The 20,018-nt window shown below is 50.2% G+C and overlaps 1 protein-coding gene across 2 annotated transcripts in view, besides 3 other annotated features; it reads left to right on the forward strand.

Moving 5' to 3' along the window:
• The window catches only part of MYO9B (myosin IXB), a 137,510-nt gene that overhangs the window by 61,313 nt on the left and 56,179 nt on the right, over positions 1-20,018 (forward strand). For both annotated transcript variants that reach the window (NM_001130065.2, NM_004145.4), the window contains exons 3-7: positions 8,308-8,402; positions 15,555-15,617; positions 16,878-16,977; positions 17,226-17,326; positions 19,820-19,949. In NM_001130065.2, the coding sequence (NP_001123537.1) occupies positions 8,308-8,402; positions 15,555-15,617; positions 16,878-16,977; positions 17,226-17,326; positions 19,820-19,949 (489 nt within the window). The remainder of the gene's footprint in view (positions 1-8,307; positions 8,403-15,554; positions 15,618-16,877; positions 16,978-17,225; positions 17,327-19,819; positions 19,950-20,018) is intronic.
• Positions 2,150-2,444: an enhancer, noted in NCBI's record as "tiled region #10590; HepG2 Activating DNase matched - State 5:Enh". NCBI's record gives its function as "activates a minimal TATA promoter and a strong SV40 promoter by Sharpr-MPRA in HepG2 cells {active_cell/tissue: HepG2}" and the evidence as "EXISTENCE:reporter gene assay evidence [ECO:0000049][PMID:27701403]".
• Positions 12,632-13,324: an enhancer, noted in NCBI's record as "H3K27ac-H3K4me1 hESC enhancer chr19:17260531-17261223 (GRCh37/hg19 assembly coordinates)". NCBI's record gives its function as "activates a minimal SCP1, AML or CMV promoter by ChIP-STARR-seq in naive H9 embryonic stem cells {active_cell/tissue: H9 hESC(naive)}" and the evidence as "EXISTENCE:reporter gene assay evidence [ECO:0000049][PMID:30033119]".
• Positions 15,514-16,261: an enhancer, noted in NCBI's record as "H3K27ac hESC enhancer chr19:17263413-17264160 (GRCh37/hg19 assembly coordinates)". NCBI's record gives its function as "activates a minimal SCP1, AML or CMV promoter by ChIP-STARR-seq in primed H9 embryonic stem cells {active_cell/tissue: H9 hESC(primed)}" and the evidence as "EXISTENCE:reporter gene assay evidence [ECO:0000049][PMID:30033119]".

Below are 20,018 nucleotides of genomic sequence, written 5' to 3' on the forward strand. Positions count from 1 at the left end.
TGATGGCGCGTGCCTATAATCCCAGCTACTCGGGAGGCTGAGGCAGGAGAATTGCTTGAACCCAGGAGGCAGAAGTTGCAGTGAGCCAAGATTGTGCCATTGCACTCCAGCCTGGGCAACAAGAGCAAACTGTCTCAAAAAAAAAAAAAAAAAAGCCAGGTGCGGTGATACATACCTGTGGTCTCAGCTCCTTAAGAGACAGAAATGGGAGGATCGCCTGAGCCTGGGGGTTGAGGTTGAGGCTGCAGTGAGCTATGGTCGCACCACTTAAACTCCAGTCTGGGCGACAGAGTGAGACCCTGTCTCCCTGTCTCAAACAACAACAACAACAACAAGAGGTGAGCAAGGCTCATGTGGTGACCCAGTCCGCCCCCACCAAAAGCACCCGGCTACTTCCCAGACCCCCTTCTCTGTAGAGGACCAGGTCATCTCTCTCTGGGGCCCCCTCCTTATCACCTTCCTGCTTGGCTCCGTGCCCCATGATCTTGAGCTCCTCCCTGTTTCCTTGTCCCATGACCCAAACAGCCAGCTCCTTGAGTAGTGTGACCCGCACATGGGTCCAGCCACAGCAACTGTCCGGGCTTCAAGCTCTGCCCGAGGCTTTGCAGCTGAATGGAGCCTTCTCCAAGGGAGTATCTGGGCCTCCCATGGTCAGATCCTTTTTTTTTATTTGAAACAGAGTCTCGCTCTGTCGCCGAGGCTGGAGTGCAGGGGCGCAAATGCAGCTGCAGCCTCAACCTCCTGGGCTGAAGCAATCCTCCCACCTCAGCCTCCAAAGTAACTGGAACTACAGGCACCCACCACCATACCTGGCTTTTTTTTTTTTTAATACTTTAAGTTCTGGGATACATGTGCAGAACGTGCAGTTTCGTTACATAGGTATACACATGCCATGGTGGTTTGCTGCACCCATCAACCCGTCACCTACATTAGGTATTTCTCCTAATGTTATCCCTCTCCTAGCCCCCTACCCCCTACAGGCCCTGGTGTGTGATGTTCCCCTCCCTGTGTCCATGTGTTCTCATTGTTCAACTCCCATTTATGAGTGAGAACATGTGGTGTTTGGTTTTCTGATCTTGTGATAGTTTGGTGAGAATGATGGTTTCCAGCTTCATCCATGTCCCTGCAAAGGACATGAACTCATCCTTTTTTATGGCTGCATAGTATTCCATAGTGTATATGTGCCACATTTTCTTAATCCAGTCTATCACTGATGGACATTTGGGTTGGTTCTGAGTCTTTGCTATTGTGAATAGTGCCGCAGTAAACATACGTGTGCATGTATCTCTATCGCAGAATGATTTATAATCCTTTGGGTATATGCCCAGTAAAGGGATTGCTGCATACCTGGCTAATTTTTTAAATTTTTTCTAGATTTGGGGTTTCGCCATGTTGCCCAGGCTGGTCTTGAACTCCTGGCCTCAAGCCATCCTCCTGCCTTGGCCTCCCAAAATGCTGAGATTACAGGCGTGACCACTGCGCCCAGCCACTCAGTTGCATTTTTAATGGGACTTCCCCATTCAGGCTGCCCCACAAAAGCCTCCACTCAGTGGTCAGCCAGTGTCTTAATCTGTTCGGGCTACTGTCACAGAATATGGTTACGCATTGCTTAACTATGGGAGAAATGCGTCATTGGGTGATATTGTGGTCACATGAACATCCTAGAATGAACTTACACAAACCTAGATGATATAACCTACTACACACTTCGGCTGTAGGTGTTTAGTAGGTTATATACTACTAATAGGTGTGTTAATATGTAACCACTAATAGGCTATACCTATACAAATAGATGTAGCTGGCCAGGTGCGGTGGCTCACGCCTGTAATCTCAGCACTTTGGGAGGCCAAGGCAGGTGGATCATCTGAGGTCAGGAGTTCAAGACCAGCCTGGCCCCGAACTCTGGTGAAACCCTGTCTCTATTTGAAAATGCAAAAATTAGTCGGGCATGGTGGCTCGCGCCTGTAGTCCCAGTTACTCTGGAGGCTGAGGCAGGAGGATAGCCTGAACCTGGGAGGTGGAGGTTGCAGTGAGCTGAGATTATGCCACTGCACTCCAGCCTGGGCAACAGAGTGAGACTCGATCTCAAAAAAAGCAAAAACAAATAGGTATAACCCATTACTTCTAGGCTACAAACCTGTACAGCATGTTACTGTACTGAATACTGTGGGCAGTTGTAACACAATGGTAAATATTTGTGTATCTAAACATAGGCCAGGCCTGGTGGCTCATTCCTGTAATCCTAGCACTTTGCAAGGCCTAGGCAGGAAAATCGCTTGAACTCAGGAGGTCGAGGCCGCAGTGAGCCAAGATCACACCACCGCACTCCAGCCTGGGCGACAGACCAAAATTCTGTCTCTAAATAGATAGATAGGCTGGTTACTTTGGCTCACACCTGTAATCTCAACACTTTGAGAGGCCAAAGTATGCAGATTGCTTGAGCCCAGGAGTTTGAGACTGGCCTGGGCAACACAGTGAAACCTCTTCTCTACAAGAAAATAAGCCAGGTGTGCTGACACGTGCCTGTAGTCTCAGCTACCTGGGAGCTTGAGGCGGGAGGATCACCTTGAGCTCTGGAGGTTGAGGCTGCAGTGAGCCATGATCATGCCACTGCACTCTAGCCTGGGCGACAGAGTGAGACCCTGTCTCAAAAAAACATTGGATGAATGGGGCTGGGCACATTGGCTCAGGACTGTGATCTCAGCACTTTGGGAGGCCAAGGCAGGCGGATCACCTGAGGTTGGGAGTTCGAGACCAGCCTGACCAACATGGAGAAACCCCGTCTCTACTAAAAATACAAAATTAGCCGGGTGTGGTGGTGCATGCCTGTAATCCCAGCTATTCGGGATGCTGAGGCAGGGGAATCACTTGAGCCCGGGAGGAGGAGGTTGTGGTGAGCTGAGATCGCGCCATTGCACCCCAGCCTGGGCAACAAGAGTGAAACTCTGTCTCAAAAAAAAAAGAAAAAATGATTGGATGGATGGATGGATGGGTGGATGGATGGATGCATGGATGGAAACATAGAAGCAGTACAGTAAGAGTACAGTATTATAATCTTATGGGACCACCGTCATATATGTGGTCCATCGTTGATGGTCATTGCTGTGCAGTGCATGACTGTACCATGTAGACCAGGTGGCTGAAACAACAAATATATTCTCACAGTTCTGAAAGTGAGAAGTTCAAGGTCAAGGCTCTGGCAGATTTGGTGTCAGGTGAAGGCCCTCTTCTTGGTTCATTGATGGTGTTTTTTCCCATGTCCTCACACGGTGGAAGGAGTGAGGGTGCTCTCTGGGGTTCTCTTCTATAAGGGCACTAATCCCATTCATGAGGGCCCCATGTAAGTGACCTCATCACCTCCCAAAGACCTCACCTCCTCAACCTATCACCTTAGGGTTAGATTTCTTTTTTTTTTTTGAGATGGAGTTCACTCTTATTGCCCAGGCTGGAGTGCAATGGCACGATCTCGGCTCACCGCAACCTCCGCCTCCCGGGTTCAAGCGCTTCTCCTGCCTCAGCCTCCTGAGTAGCTGGGATTACAGGCATGTACCACCATGCCCGGCTAATTTTGTATTTTTAGTAGAGACAGGGTTTCTCCATATTGGTCAGGCTGGTCTCAAACTCCTGACCTCAGGTGATCCGCCTGCCTCGGCCTCCCAAAGTGCTGGGATTACAGGCGTGAGCCACCGTGCCCGGCCAGGGTTAGATTTCAACATATAAAGTTTGTCGGGGGCCAGGCATGGTGACTCAAGCCTGTAATCCCAGCACTTTGGGAGGCCGAGGCAAGGAGATCACTTGGGGTCAGGAGTTCGAGACCAGCCTGGCCAACATGGTAAAACCCCATCTCTACTAAAAATACCAAAAATTAGCCGAGCGCAGTGGCACACACCTGTAATCCCAGCTACTCAGGAGGCTGAAGCACGAGAATCACTTGAACCCAGGAGGTGGAGGTTGCAGTGAGCCGAGATCACACCATTGCACTCCAGCCTGGGCAACAGAGCAAGACCCTGTCTCAGAAAAAAAAAAAAAAATTGTGTGAGGGACACAGACATGAAGTCCATAACAACCAGTATCCATCCCCCTGTGGAATGAGGCCTTCAGGAAGATCCTGTCTCTCTGTGTCATTGTGTCTCCGGTTTCCGCCTCCCTGGTGTGCTTGGCCACCACCTACCCCACCCCCTACAATGGGACCTTGGCAATGGCCTTGCCACTTCCTTCACACTGTGGCCTCGCTCTCTCCTATCCCCTGGGTGGCCCAGCCTCTCAAATGGGAGCATCACTGCTGCCAAACTTTCCACGTGTGACTGCAGGGCGTGCCCCCTGCCCCTGTGCCCTCCCCTTGCCATGTTACCTCTTCCCCAAACCTAGCGGTCACAAGGACTGGGACAGTGGAACACCAGGCCCCAGGACCAGCTCTGCTGCCTCTCTCTCATCTACAAGGCCTTACAGCCCGCATCCTGCTGGCCTCACCCCATCTTCTTTTTCCTAAACGAAAGAGCCCCCACCTTCCGCCAGCCACCACCTCTTCTCAGCTTCTCTGTCCTGCCCCAGGCACCTTCCCTGCCTCAAGTTCCCCCAGGGGCTCCGTCTTAACCACTCTGGAGCAGTAAGTCCCTCATGGGAAGGGGGCACCCCAGGAATCTGGACAGAGTGTAGGTGTCCCCCATCTTCATCCAGGTGATGGTTACATGGAAGGCCCCAGAGGGGACCCCTGCACACTCCCTGCACTGCACACACTTCCCTGTATGTGTGGACTCCTCAGTACAGAGCAAAAAGATTGTCCTGTGAAAAAGGAATGAAACATTGATTACAGGTGAGCCACCGTGCCTGTCATCACAGCCCTTTCGGAGGCCGAGTTGGAAGGATCGCTTGAGGCCGGGAGTTCAAGACCAGCCTGGGCAACTTAGAGAGATGCGGTCTCTACAAAAAATTTTAAAAATTAGCCAAGCATGGTGGCATGCACCTGTGGTCCCAGCTATTTGGGAGGCTGAGGCAGGAGGATTGCTTGAGGCCACGAGGTCGAGGCTTGCAGTGAGCTATGATTACACCACTGGGCGACAGCAAGACCCTGCCTTTTAAAAAAAAAAAAAGAAAGAAAAAAGAAGCGGCAACCAGACACAACAGGCCATAAGTGTATGACCTCATTGACCTGAGATACCCAGAACAGGCAAATCCATAGAGACAGGAAGCAGATTGGTGGTTGTCAGGGACTAGGGGAGGGAAATGGGGAGGGACTGCTGATGGGGACAGTCTCCTTTTCGGGGGATCAGAATGTTCTGGAACCAGGTAAAGGCGATGGCTGCACAACATTGTGAATGTACTGAATGCCACTGAATTGTACACTTTAAGAAGGTTAATTGTATGTCATGTTTTACGCCAATTTTTTTTTAATTGCTCTGTGAACCCACTTATCTTCCCACCAAACTTTAGGGCTCCTCAAGGGACCTTCCACATACCCTGCCTTGTGTCCAGCAGTGAGCCCAGAATCCAGATCAGCCCAAAACTCCTGCCACAAAGAGCCCGATAGGCAATATTTGCACCTTCGCAGACTAGATGGTAGTCTCTGTTGCAACACAATTGAATGAGCCTGGCATGTACCGATAAAACTTCATTGATGGACGCTGAAATGTGAAGAGGTTTTTCACGTCAGGGAATATTCTTCTTTGGGTTTTTGTTTGTTTGTTTGTTCCTTGTTTCACCATTTACAAATGTGAAAACCATTCTTGGCTCGCAGGCGATTAAAAAAACAAGCATCAGACCAGATTTGGCCCACAGGGTGTGGCTTACCCTATCAGATGAATGGTTACAACTGAAAAGAATTCAGGCAATTGCCATTTTTAATGTCAGAGACTTAAAACTTGAACACCGGCCAGGCATGATGGCTCATGCCTGTAATCCCAGTACTTTGGGAGGCCAAGGCGGGCAGATCACCTGAGGTCAGGAGTTCGAGACCAGCCTGGACAACATGGGAAAACCCCGTCTCTACTAAAAATGTAAAAGTTAGCCAGGCGTGGTGGTGCACACCTGTAATCCCAGCTACCCGGGAAGGTGAGGCACGAGAATCGCTTGAACCCGGGAGGTGGAGATTGCCGTGAGCTGAGATCGTGCCATTGTACCCCAGCCTGGCAACAGAACAAGACTCTGTTTCAAAAAAAAAACAAACAAACTTGAGCACCACACACAACCTCAGACACAGAGATAAAGAGTGAAATGTTGGAATGGGCCTTGGCTATACACCTCTGTATTTTTCAGGTCTTATCTGGGCTTCTAAGTGACTTATAGCCTACTGTCTTGGGGACAAGTGAGTGTCCTCAAAGCCGAGAAGGAGGGAGGCCCAGGGCTCCAGGCTGAGGCCTATAGAAGCTCCATCCTCGCTGGAGCCCATTATCCTTAGCAAACTAACACAGGAACAGAACACCTAATATTGCATGTTCTCACTTTCAAGTGGGAGCTAAATGGTGAGAACACATGGACACACAGAGGGGAAGAGCAGACAGTGGGGCCTCCTGGAGGGTGGGAGGAGGGAGAGGAGCAGAAAAAATACTATTGGGGCCAGGCACAGTGGCTCACGCCTGTAAATCCCAGCACTTTGAGAGGCCGGGGCGGGCAGATCATGAGGTCAAGAGATCGAGACCATCCTAGCCAACGTGGTGAAACCCCGTCTCTACTACAAATACAAAAATTAGCTGGGCATGGTGGCACACGCCTGTATTCCCAGCTATTTGGGAGGCTGAGGCAGGAGAATCGCTTGAACCTGGGAGGTGGAGGTTGCAGTGAGCCGAGATCGTGCCACTGCACCCCAGCCTGGGCAACAGGGCAAGACTCTGTCTCAAAATAAAAAAGAAAAGAAAAAGAAAAATAACTGTTGGATACTAGGCTTAGTACCTGGGTGACAAAATAATCTGTACAGCAAATCCCTGTGATACAAGTTTACCTACTTAACAAACCTGCGTGTGTACCCCAAAACCTTAAAAGTTAAGGCTAGGCATGGTGGTGCATGCCTGTGGTCGCAGCTACTTGGGAGGCTGAGGCAGAAGGATCCCTTGAGCCTGGGAGACAGAAGTTGCAGTGAGCTGAGATCATGCCACTACACTCCAGCCTGGGCAACAGAGCGAGACCCCATCTCAAAAATAATATTAAAAGGTTAAAAAATAAAGTTTATTTAGACAACAGATAAAATGATGTTTTTGCAAATTATGTCACAATCTGGAAAATATTAATTAAATAAACCGAGTCTGGGCATGATGGTTCATGCCTGTAATTCCAGCACTTTGGGAGACCGAGGCGGGTGGATCACTTAAGCTCAGGAGTTCCAGACCAGCCTGGGCAACATGGCAAAACCCCATCTCTACAAAAAATTAGCCAGGCGTGGTGGTGCATGCCTGTGGTCCCAGCTGCTCAGGAGGCTGAGACAGGCGGATCGCTTCAGCCTGGGAGGCAGAGGTTGCATTGAGCCAAGATCGCAACACTGCACTCCAGCCTGGGTGACATTGTGTGACCCTGTCTCAAACAAAAAAAAAAAGAGTGAAAGAAAATGGGCTACTCTCTGCTTACTGGGTAGCCCTACTTTGCAGGAACAGTTAAAGAAAAAATAAGAGACCAGGGGTGGTGGCTCATGCCTATAATCCCAGCACTTTGGGAGGCCAAGGTGGGCGGATTGTCTGAGCTCAGGAGTTCGAGACCAGACTGGGCAACACAGTGAAACCCCGTCTGTACTAAAAATACAAAAAATTGGCCAGGCGTGGCAGCGTGCGCCTGTAATCCCAGCCACTCGGGAGGCTGAGCCAGGAGAACCGCTTGAACTCGGGAGACAGTGCTTGCAGTGAGCTGAGATTGCGCCCCTGCACTCCAGCCAAGGCAACAGAGCGAGACTTCATCTCAAAAAAAAAAAAAAAAAAAAAAGAAAAAGAAAAAATAGAGACTGGGCACAGTGACTCATGCACTTTGGGAGGCTGAGGCGGGCAGATTGCCTGAACTCAGGAGTTCTACGTCAGCCTGGACAACATGGTGAAACCCCGTCTCTACTAAAATACAAAAATTAGCCAGCATGGTAGCGCACATCTGTAGTCCCAGCTACTCAGGAGGCTGAGGCATGAGAATTGCTTGAACCCGGGAGGCAGAGGTTGCAGTGAGCCAAGATTGTGCCACTTCACTCCAGCCCAGGTGACAGAACAAGACTGTCTCCAAGAGAAAAAATAGATAAATTGAACAATACAAAATATAAAAGCACAGTGTAAAATGAGAGGAAAAAAAAGAAAAAGAAATTCCACCCTCCTGATCTGAAACCTGCTTTTGATTTCCTTGCAGGCTTTTGGAAATGCCAAGACAGCCCACAACAACAACTCCAGCCGGTTTGGGAAATTCATCCAAGTCAGCTACCTAGAGAGTGGCATCGTGAGAGGGTGAGGTGTCCCTGGGGTCCCCACTGGTGGGAGCTGGCCCCACGCACTGTTGCTTCCTGACACACACATGGGAGTGAGATGTGGAGATCATGGCTGTGTGGATGTTTATGCTTTGTATGGGAGAGCGAGTGTGATTTTTAGGTCTTTGAGGTGAAGGTCTGGAACAGTAGGTTGAAGTAGGAAATGTGGGCAGGGGCTGGGGGACGTGGCTAGAGGTAGTGGGCTTTACCGAGAACAGGCAAGGACAGCCCAGCCCATTTCCTGTCTTGATAAAGTTTCTAATTTGGTAGGTCTTGGGGGTGTCACAGGCAGTGGGGATGCGGACTCTGGCCTTTGCCAAACATGTGCTCCTTTAGCCAGAAAATGACAGGTACAGAGCTGCAAAGTGAGGTGGTCGTGCATGGAAATACTGAAGGGTGGGTGGGTGGATGGACTCATGAGGGGATGGATGGATGGATGGATGATGGATGGATGGATGGATGGATGGATGGTTAGAGAGACAGATGGATTCATGGGTGAATGGATTTGCACGTAGATGGATAGACAGATTTATGGATGGATGGATGGATGAATTCATGCATGGATGGCTGAATGGATGGATAGATGAATTATTGGGTGAATGGATTCATGAGTGGATGGATGAATAGATTCATGAATGGGTGGGTGGATAGATGGATGGATGGATGGATGGATGGATGGATGGATGGATGGATGGATGGATCGATGGATTGATTCATGGGGGAGTAGATTCATGGGTGGATGGATGCATTCATGAGTGGATCTACCCATACACTCATGAATCCATCCATCACAGGTGGATGGGTAGATTCATGGGTAGGTGAATGAATAAATGGGTAGATTCATATAATGAATGGGTGGATGGATAGATTCATGGATGGATGGATGGATGGATGGGTGGGTGGATGGATTTATGGGTGAGTGGATTCACAGGTGGCTGGATAGATGGATTCTTGGGTGGATGGATTTACAAGTGAATGGATAGAATCATAGGTAGGTGGACGAATAAATGAGTAGATTTGTGGGTGTGTGGATGGGTGGATGGATGGATAGATAGATGGATTCATGGGTGGATGGATTCATGGATGGAGAGATACATGGATTATTCATAGATGGATGAGTAGATTCATGGGTAGGTGGATGAATAAATGGGTAGATTTTGTGGATGTGTCAATTAGCGAATGGATAGATTCATGGGTAAATTGGATGGAATTGGATGGGCTTGATCAGTGGATCCATGGATCCATTGATGGGTGGATGAGTACTTAGATGGCATCTGAGAGGGTCCAAGGCCTGGATACTCACAGGGATCCCCCACTAACTATAGATTCTCATGTGAGGGGCTGCTGTGTCAATGGGATTTGTAAAGGTCCCAGGATTTTGTCTGTCTGAACCTGACTGATGATCATTTCAACTGATGGTTCATATTCAAGATACAAACAGGCATATTGTTCTCCTGAACCTTCCGCCTCTAGCTTCATTTCTTTTTCCCAGTGCCCAGGCTCCAGTAGGCAGTGGTGTGGGTGAGTGGCCCTTGACAAATGTCAGGGGCTGCTCTGGCCCCTCGGCCTCAGCCCCCACAAGGCAGTCAGTGGCCCCCCAACTCCTACCACCTGCCCACATGGGTGTACCCGGTTCATCAGAAACACCTGGAACAGCCACTTGTCCCACCTGTCTTCCAGGCCCTGACCTCTCCATGAAGACCCCACCTTTTTCACTTCATATTTTGGGGGTTAAAATACACAACATAAGGCCAGGCGTGGTGGCTCACACCTATAATCCCAGCACTTTGGGAGGCCGAGGTGGGTGGATCACCTGAAGTCGGGAGTTCAAGACCAGCCTGTCCAACGTGGTGAAACCGCCATCTCTACTAAAAATACAAAAATTAGCTGGGCATGATGGCAGGCGCCTGTAATCCCAGCTACTCAGGAGGCTGAAGCAGGAGAATCGCTTGAACCCAGGAGGCGGAGATTGCAGTGAGCCAAGATCAGGCCACTGCACTCCAGCCTGGGTGACGAGCGAAAGTCCATCTCAAAAAAAAAAAAAAAAAAACCCAACAACCAACCAACCAAACAAGCAAACAAAATTAGCTGGGCGTGGTGGTGCATGCCTGTGATCCAGAAATTACAAGTGTGAGCCACTGCGCCCAGACACTATGTTTAATTTTTTTTTTTTTTTTTTTTTTTTTTTTTTGAGACAGAGTTTCGCTCTTATTGCCCAGGCTGGAGTACAATGGCGTGATCTCGGCTCACCGCAACCTCTGTCTCCTGGGTTCAAGCGATTCTCCTGCCTCAGCTCGAGTAGCTGGGATTACAGGCATGCGCCACCACACCTGGCTAATTTTGTATTTTTAGTAGAGATGGGGTTTCTCAATGTTGGTCAGGCTGGTCTCGAACTCCCGACCTCAGGTGATCTGCCCGCCTTGGTCTCCCGAAGTGTTGGGATTACAGGCGTGAGCCACTGCGCCTGGCCATTTAATTTTTTAAGAAGCCACCATACTGTCTCCCATGGAAGCCACACCATTTTACCTTCCCACCAGCAGTGCACAAAGGTCCCCACCTCTTATCTTTGGTTTTCTTTTTCTTCCCGTGGGTCCATCTTTTGCACGATCCTATCTGCCACATTGCAGAGATTTTGACCCACAGGAAGCATTCAGGGTACCTTGTTGGGAAGATGACACAGATACTGTTGCTACAGTTCCATGCCTCCCTTGGGGAGAAGCTAAGCTGCCTCCTTGTCTTGTCTGGGTGTCCAGCTGGCTCTGGACAGACACTGCAGGCTTGACCTCCGCATGGGCACCGCCCCCTTTCCAACATTATCTCTGTATGCATTTCCTAGGAGGGACTGCCATAACAGTGTACGACAAACCGTATGGCTGAAGCAACAGGAATTATTCTCTTATCATCCCAGAGGCCAGAAGTCGGATATCAAGGTGTCCACAGGGCTGGTTCCTTCTGGAGTCTCTAGGGAAAGATCCTGGCTACCTCCTCCAGCTTCTGGTGGCTCCCTTGGCTCATGGCCACATTACTCCCATCTCTGCCTCTGTCTTCAGGTGGCATGTGTCTCTCCTCTTTTTATTTTTTTATTTTTTGGAGACGGAATCTCACCCTGTCGCCCAGGCTGGAGTGCAGTGGTACTATCTCTGCTCACTGCAACCTCCGCCTCCCGGGCTCAAGCAATTCTTGTGCCTCAGTCTCCCAAGTAGCTGGGATTATAGGAATATGCCACCACACCCAGCTAATTTTTGTATTTTTAGTAAAGACAGGGCCTCACTGTGTTGGCCAGGTTGGTCTCAAACTCCTGGCCTCAAGTGATCCGCCTGCCTCGGCCTCCCCAAGTGCTGGGATTACAGGTGTGAGCCACCACGCCCGACCCCCTCTTCTAAGGACATTTGTCATCGGATTTAGGGCCCTCCTGGATTATTGAGGATGATCCTGAGGCCTTTAACTTAATGGCCTCTGCAAAGATCCTTTTTTATGTTTTGAGACAGGGTCTTACTTTGTTGCCCAGGCTAGAGTACAATGGCATGATTATGGCTCACTGCAGCCTTGAACTCCTGGAGTCAAGCGATCCTCCTGCCTCAGCCTCCTGAGTAGCTGGGACTACAGGTGCACACCCCCACACCTGGCTAATTTTTTATTTTTATTCTGTAGAGACGGGGTCCCACTGTGTTGTCCAGGCTGGTCTTGAACTCCTGGCCTCAAGCGATCCTTCCACCTTGGCCCCCCAAAGCTCTGGGGATTACAGGCATGAGCCACTGCGCCCAGCTCCCTTTTTCCAGATAAAGTCATATCCCCAGGTTCCAGGAGACATAACTTCCAGGGCCCACCATTGGACCAGACACCAGAAGGGCTGGCCTGGCCCAGCCCATAGCTAAATGGTTTAGCCTCCCCGACCTTCCCCAGGCTCCCATCATATTCAGGACCAGTGGACCTCCATGGCCAGGTCTCCCAGACCAGCTTTGGAAAGTCGTATCTGTGGCCTTGGATTCAGGAAAGGGAGTCCTGCCTCCACCCACAACCTCAGGACTGTGGCCATCCTCGCCCCAGGGAGGGAGGTGCACTTCCTATCCCAAGAATGGCCGCAGCGATCACACAAAGAGCCGGCTCAGACCGGTTCTGCTTTTGCCCACTTTCAGGCAGGTGACACTTCTCCATGCCATTCCCACCAAGGCCAAGGGTCAGGCACAGTCCAAGCCTCCCCACCCAGTTCTCCAATTTATGAGGCTGCAGCTTCCTGTGTGTTCAAGGACTCAGTGCTGGAGGAGCCCTGGGTCCCTATAAGACCCCTTTTTTAGGCCCAGGCCTTGAAAATGATTGGGGAAGGGAAGGGGCCATCATCTGTCAAGCGACATTTTGATGCCAGACCTGCAGATGCAGCACGGGGAATCGGCCACAGGCTGAGATTGAAACATGAGTTTCCTCCTAGAAACGGACACAGCCTCCCTCCCCAGGAATGCAGGAAGGTGCTGAAACTGGTTACTAGCCCGGCAAAGGAATAGAAGGAAACATTTTTTTCTCCTATTTGAAAGAAGAGAGGACCCAGGCTGGGCCATCAGAAGCCACCTGTGCATCGTGTGTGTCCCTGTGTGAGCCTGCAGACAAAAGACTGCTGTCTTGGGCTGGGCGCGGTGGCTCACGCCTGTAATCCCAGCACTTTGGGGGAGTGATGCGGTGGATCACCTGAGGCCAGGAGTTCAAGACCAGCCTGGCCAACATGGTGAAACCCCATCTACTAAAAATAACAAAATTAGCCAGGTGTGGTGGCTCATGCCTATAATCCCAGCTACTCGGGAAGCTGAGGCAGGAGAATCACTTGAACATGGGAGGCAGAAGTTGCAGTGATCCCAGATCATGCCACTGCACCCCAGCCTGGGTGGCAGAGTGAGACTCCGTCTCAAAAAAAAAAAAAAAGACTGCTATGCTGGAGAGACAGGCGTTCAGCAGACCCTGAATTGGGAACCTCGTGCTGTCCCCTGGCCCTGCCACTCCTTGGGCACCAGCTGTGTCTCCTGCATAACAGGATGGGCTCAGATGAGGGTGATCTGGAGGCCCCAGTGAGCTCACATGTCTGGTGATGGCGGACCCTGTGATAGACCGGCCCCACCAGACTTAGCCAGCCCCAGCTGGTGCGAAAGGATCCCACCAGGCCACCCTCTTCCCACAGGGGCCCTGGGCAGCACATAGTCTCACCAAGCCTTGGCTCCTTGTCCACTCCTCAGGAGCCACCGTGCCTGCCCCAGTATGGAAGAGGAGTCCCTGAGAAATACATCAAATGATGCCTAGAACATATTTTTCCTCGAAAAAACATTCACTGCCACTACTTTTAGCATTGAGAGATATTTGGGGCTGCAGAGACACCCCAGTCCCTGTGCTGGTACCCTCAGACTCAAGGTCCCACATGATGCCAGGTGCCTCCTGAGGGACCTCTGAGAACTTAATTTGGAGGAAACACTTTAACTGCTTGGCACAGAGAAAATGATTGGTAAGGCCGGGCGCAGTGGCTCACGCCTCTAATCCCAGCACTTTGGGAGGCCAAGGTGGGTGGATCACCTGAGGTCAGGAGTTCGAGACCAGCCTTGCCAACATGGTGAAACCTGTCTCTACTAAAAATACAAAAATTAACTGGGCGTGGTGGTGGGCGCCTGTAATCTCAGCTACTGGAAGGCTGAGGCAGGAGAATTGCTTGAACCCAGGAGGCAGAGGTTGCAGTGAGCTGAGATCACGCCATTGCACTCCAGCCTCGGCAACGAGAGCAAAACTCCATCTCAAAAAAAAAAAGAAAGAAAGAAAATGATAAATAAACGGCAGAACACCAGACCATATGGATACAACCAAGTATTGCTGGGTATCACAGACCCCTGTGCTTCCAAGGACACTGTGACAAAATTGGAAAGGAATCCCCAGACCCAGAGAAGGTACCTGCAAATCAGAACCAGCAAAGGACTTGCATCTAGAATATAGAAAGAGCATTTACAGCTCAATAAAAGGACCAACACCCAATAAGAAAACCACAAAAGACGTCAATGTATACTTCATCAGAGAAGAGCTATGAATGGCCAGCAAGCACATGAGATGTTCAGCATCATTGGTCATCAGGGAAATGCAAATCCAAACCACAGTGACAGGCTAGATGCATGGCTCACGCCTGTAATCCCAACACTTCAGGAGGCTGAGACACGTAGATCACTTGAGGCCAGGAGTTACAGACCAGCCTGGACAACATCACGAAATCCCATCTCTACAAAAACTACAAAAACTAGCCTGTAGTCCCAGCCACTCGGGAGGTTGAGGTGGGAAGATCACTTGAGCCCAGGAGAACAAGGCTGCATTGAGCCATTATCGTGCTACTGCATTCCAGCCTGCACAACAGAGCAAGATCCTGCGTCAAAACGAATGCTGGGTGCAGTGGCTCATGCCTATAATTCCAGCATATTGGGAGGCTGAGGCAGGTAGATCACCTGAGGTCAGGAGTTCGAGACCAGCCTGACCAACATGGAGAAACCCCGTCTCTACTAAAAATACAAAATTAGCCAGGCATGGTGGCACATGCCTGTAATCCCAGCTACTCAGGAGGCTGAGGCAGGAGAATCGCTTGAACTCAGGAGGTGGAGGTTGCAGTGAGTAGAAATCACGTCATTGCACTCCAGCCTGGGCAACAGAGTAAGACTCCATCACAAAAAAAAAAAAAAACCCACAAGGACATACCACTGCTCACCCACTAGGGTGGCTAGAATAAAAAAGACAGTGAATAACAAATATTGGCCAGGGATGGTGGCTCATGCCTGTAATCCCGCACTTTGGGAGGCCAAGGCGTGCAGATCACTTGACATAGGTCAAGAGTTTGAGATCAGCCTAGCCAACATGGCAAAACCCCGCCTCTACTAAAAATACAAAAATTAGCTGGGTGGGGGTTGGCACACCCCTGTAGTTCCAACCAACCACTGTGGGGGCCGAGGCAAGAGAATCGCTTGAACCCAGGAGGCAGAGGTTGCAGTGAGCCGAGATTGTGCCGTTGTACTCCAGCCTGAACAACAGAGCGAGACTCCCATCTCAAAAAAAAAAAAAACAACTCAATATTAACACAATACTAAAATGTAATGTTTTATTCTTTCTGTTTTTCTCTTAATGACAGAGCTGTCGTCGAGAAATATCTGCTTGAAAAGTCTCGCCTGGTGTCTCAGGAGAAGGATGAGAGGTAGGAGAATGTTTTCCCAGGAATCTCTGAATGCCACGCCATGTCTACGTTTCCTCCTACAGAGGAGAGAAGCAAAGCAAACGTCCTGAGGTCGGAGGAATTCTGGGGGAGGCCGTGGAGGCTCTCACAGGAGCAGGGCCTGCCCATCCATCTTCTCCCCAGACCTGCCCCTGTGGCCTCACACTTTGTCCTCATACCTCCCAAGCCACCTTTGTGTGCCTCCCTGGAGGTTTTATCCCCAGTATGTGCTCAGATGTCTGCACAAAATATACTTAGATTGGAAACATTTCTCAAGCATGGTAGCACGTGCCTGTAGTCCCAACTATTCAGGAGGCCTAGGCGGGAGGATCGCCTGAGCCCGGGAGGTTGAGGCTGCAGTGAGCTAGACACCACACTTCAGCCTGGGCAACAGAGCAAGTCCTTGTCTCTGTTTTTGGTTGGTTGGTTGGGGTTTTTTTGGTTTGTTTGTTTGTTTGTTTTTGTTTTTGTTTGTTTGAGTCAGAGTCTTGCTCTGTCACCCAGGCTAGAGTGCAGTGGTGTGATCCCAGCTCACTGCAACCTCCGCCTCCTGGATTCAAGCAATTCTCATGCCTGAGGCGACTCTCATGCCTCAGCCTCCCGAGTAGCTGGAATTACAGGCATGCACCACCACGCCCGGCTAGAGTCCTTGTCTCTTTTAAAAAAAAAAAAAAAAGAAAGGCCTGGAGCAGTGGCTCACACCTGTAATCCCAGCACTTTGGGAGGCCTAAGAGGCAGGATCACATGAACCCAGGAGTTCGAGACCAGCCTGGGCAACATGGCAAAATCCCATCTCTACAAAAAAGACCAAAAAAAAAAAAATTAGCTGGGCATGGTGACACACACCTGTAGTCCCAGCTACTCAGGAGGCCGAGCTGGGAGGATCACTTGAACCCAGGAGGTCGAGGCTGCAGTGAGCTGTGATTGCACCACTGCACTCCAGCCTGAGTAACAGAGCAAGACCGTATCTCAAAAAAAAAAAAAAAGAAAAGAAAGAAACATTTCTGATTGACAAATAAGTGAGATGTACACCCACCCACCTCCAATCCTCCAGAAATCTACTCGCTCACGACACTCATTTGTTTTGTTTTGTTTTTTTAAGACATAGTAAGAACTGACGTACTGTTTTAAATTTGTACATATTTGAGGTGTGCTCTCCAAAGCCATGTTAGTAGTGGTTCGCAGAGTAGCTATTACTTGGCCTCCAAAAACAACTATTTTCCTCCCAATTTTGACCTGTAGGAACTACCATGTGTTTTATTATTTGTTACTTGGGGTCAGCGAGGAAGAGCGCCAAGAATTTCAGCTCAAGCAGCCTGAAGATTATTTCTACCTCAACCAGGTAAACAGCCTCAAGCCCGAGCCACAAACGCCACCTCTGTTCCCGGCCTCAAGCTGTTTATGTATAGCCGGGAAGTCAGAGGCAGCCTGCCCTGGCCCCCGAACCCGCTCCCAGAAGGCAGCATTAAAAGAACCCATTCATTCCCCTGGTCCTGGGGCCCTGCCCCACCAGCTCCAGCCAAAATCACTCTGGCACGCCACCCTTGCCGGCCCAGGAATGCCCAGAGTACCCATGCCTTTGTTTTCCAGCATAACTTGAAGATTGAAGATGGGGAGGACCTGAAGCATGACTTTGAGAGGCTCAAGCAGGCCATGGAGATGGTGGGCTTCCTCCCCGCCACCAAGAAGCAGTAAGTGTGCGGGCTCCCGGGGCCTGTCCCCCAGAGCCTACAGGGGGCACGCATGGCCCTTACCAGTCACTCTGAGGTCTAACCTGCAACCCAGTGAAAACAGGCAGGCAGTGTCCTGAACAGTGCCGCCATAGGGAGTGTGGCCCAATAGCAGCGATCACATGAGAAGGGGCTCAAGACATTGGTCATTAGGCGATGCCAATTAAAGGTAACGTGAACATACTTAACACTGCTGAATTGTACCCTTAAAAATGGTTTAGCCAGGCTCCACGTGGCTCACTCACGCCTGTAATCCCAGCACTTTGGGAGGCCAAGGTGGAGGATTGCATGGGCCCAAGAGTTCAAGACCAGCCTGGGCAGCATAGTGAGACCTCATCTCTACAAAAAATAAATAAAATTAGCCAGGCGTGGTAGTATGCACCTGTGGTCCCAGCTACTTGTGGGGCTGAGGTGGGAGGATCACTTGGGCCTGGGAGGACAAGGCTGCAGTGAGCCACCATGATCATGCCACTGAACTAATCACGCCACTCTGGGTGACAGAGCGAGACCCAGTCTCAAAAAAAAAAGAATGCTGGGTACGGTTGTTCACACATGTAATCACAGTGCTTTGGAAGGCCAAGGCAACAGGACCACTTAAAGCCAGGAGTTCAAGGCTGTAAGTGAGCTAGGATTGTACCGCTTCATTTCAGCTCGGGCAACAGAGTAAGATCCTGTCTCTAAAAATCAAAGAAGTTAAGGTAGTGAATTTTATATTATGCTTATGTTACTACAATTTAATTATTTTTTTTTTTAGATGGGGTCTCGCTCTTTCACCTAAGCTGGAGTGAAGTGGCGAGATCATGGCTCACTGCAGCCTCGACCTCCCCTGGTTCAGGTGATCCTCCCACCTCAGCCTCCCAAGCAGCTGGGACTACAGGCGCGTGCCACCACACCTGGACAATTTTTTGTAGAGATGGGGTTTCCTCATGTTGCCCAGGCTAATTTTGAATTCTTGGGCTCAAGCCATCCACCTGCGTAAGCCTCCCAGCATGCTGGAATTACAAACACAAGCCACCGCGCCCAGCAATTTAAATTTTTTTAAACCAGGCATGGTGGCTCATGCCTGTTATCCCAGCTACTTGGGAGGCCAAGGCAGGAAGATCGCTTGAGACCAGGAGTTGGAGACCAGCCTGGGTAACATAGCAAGACCCCATCAATTTTTTTTTAAATTATCCAGGCATGGTGGCACACACCTGTAGTCCCAGCTACTTGAGAGGCTGAGGTGGGAGGATCACTTAAGCCCAGGAGTTCACAGCTACAATGAGCTAAGATGGCACCTCTGGCCCGGGCGCAGTGGCTCACGCCTGTAATCCCAGCACTTTGGGAGGCCAAGGCAGGTGGATTGCCTGAGCTCACGAGTTCAAGGCCAGGCTGGGCAACATGGCGAAACCCTGTCTCTACTAAAAATATGAAAAATTAGCCATGCATGATGGTGCACGCCTGTAATCCCAGCTACTCAGGAGGCTGAGGCACGAGAATCACTTAAACACAGAAGGCAGAGGCTGCCGTGAGCCGAGATTGCGCCACTGCACTCCAGCCTGGGTGACAGAGCAAGACTCTGTCTCAAAAAAAAAAAAAAAAGATGGCACCTCTGAATAGCCAGTGGACTCCATCCTGGACAACATAGCCAGTGACTGGCCAGACACAAGTACCATCCCATCAAGTTCACAGACAGCATTAGACGTCAGGACAGTGGTTCCTCTGGTGTTGGGGGGCTCTAGGATCCAGGACTTGGAATGTTCTATTTCTTGGTCTGGGGGCTAGTCAGAGGGATCCGTACACTTCTTTTTTCTTTTGTGAGACAGTTTCACTAGCCAGGCATGGTGGTACAAACCTGTAGTCCCAGCTACCTGAGAGGCTGAGATAGGAGGCTCAACTGAGCCCGGGGAGGTTGAGGCTGCAGTGAGCCGTGATCGCACCACTGCACTCCAGCCTGGGTGACAGAGTGAGACCCTGTTTCCAAAAAAAAGAAAATAGCTGTCTAGCCAGGTGCAGTGGCTCGTGCCAATAATCCCAGCTATTCAGGAGGCCAAGACAGGAGGATCACTTGAGGCCAGGAGTTTGAGACCAGCCTGGGCAACATAGCAAGACCCCATCCCTTTAAAAATATGTTTTTAAATTAGCCAAATATGGTGGCCTGTAGTACCAGCTACTCAGGAGGCTGAGGCTGTAGAATCACTTGAGCCCAGGAGTTGGAGGTTACAGTGAGCTATGATTGTGTCACTGCACTCCAACCTAGGCGACAGAGCCAGATCAAATCCAGGAAAAAGATAACTGTCTGCAAAGTCACATTCCACAGAGGCCATCCTCAACAGAGGCCTTAGACATTTTTCAAATTTCATGCGTTCCGACCAGAATTTGCTGGTTTTATGGATTCAGCCCGGTTCCCTGGGAAGTATCTGCTGTCTTAGGAACGTAGAAACTACCCAAATATGAGTGCCTTTTCTTTCCCAGGATTTTTGCCGTCCTCTCGGCCATCCTGTACCTGGGCAACGTCACTTATAAGAAGAGAGCTACAGGCCGAGAGGAAGGGTTGGAGGTCGGGCCACCCGAGGTGCTGGACACCCTGTCGCAGCTTCTGAAGGTACTGATTGCCACCTCTGTCCCTTCTCAGGCCTGGCTCAGGGCCGCTGGCTATCTCTCAGTACGAGGG

The sequence above is a fragment of the Homo sapiens genome, chromosome 19 (assembly GCF_000001405.40).
Source record: "Homo sapiens chromosome 19, GRCh38.p14 Primary Assembly".
Classification (NCBI taxonomy): domain Eukaryota; kingdom Metazoa; phylum Chordata; class Mammalia; order Primates; family Hominidae; genus Homo; species Homo sapiens.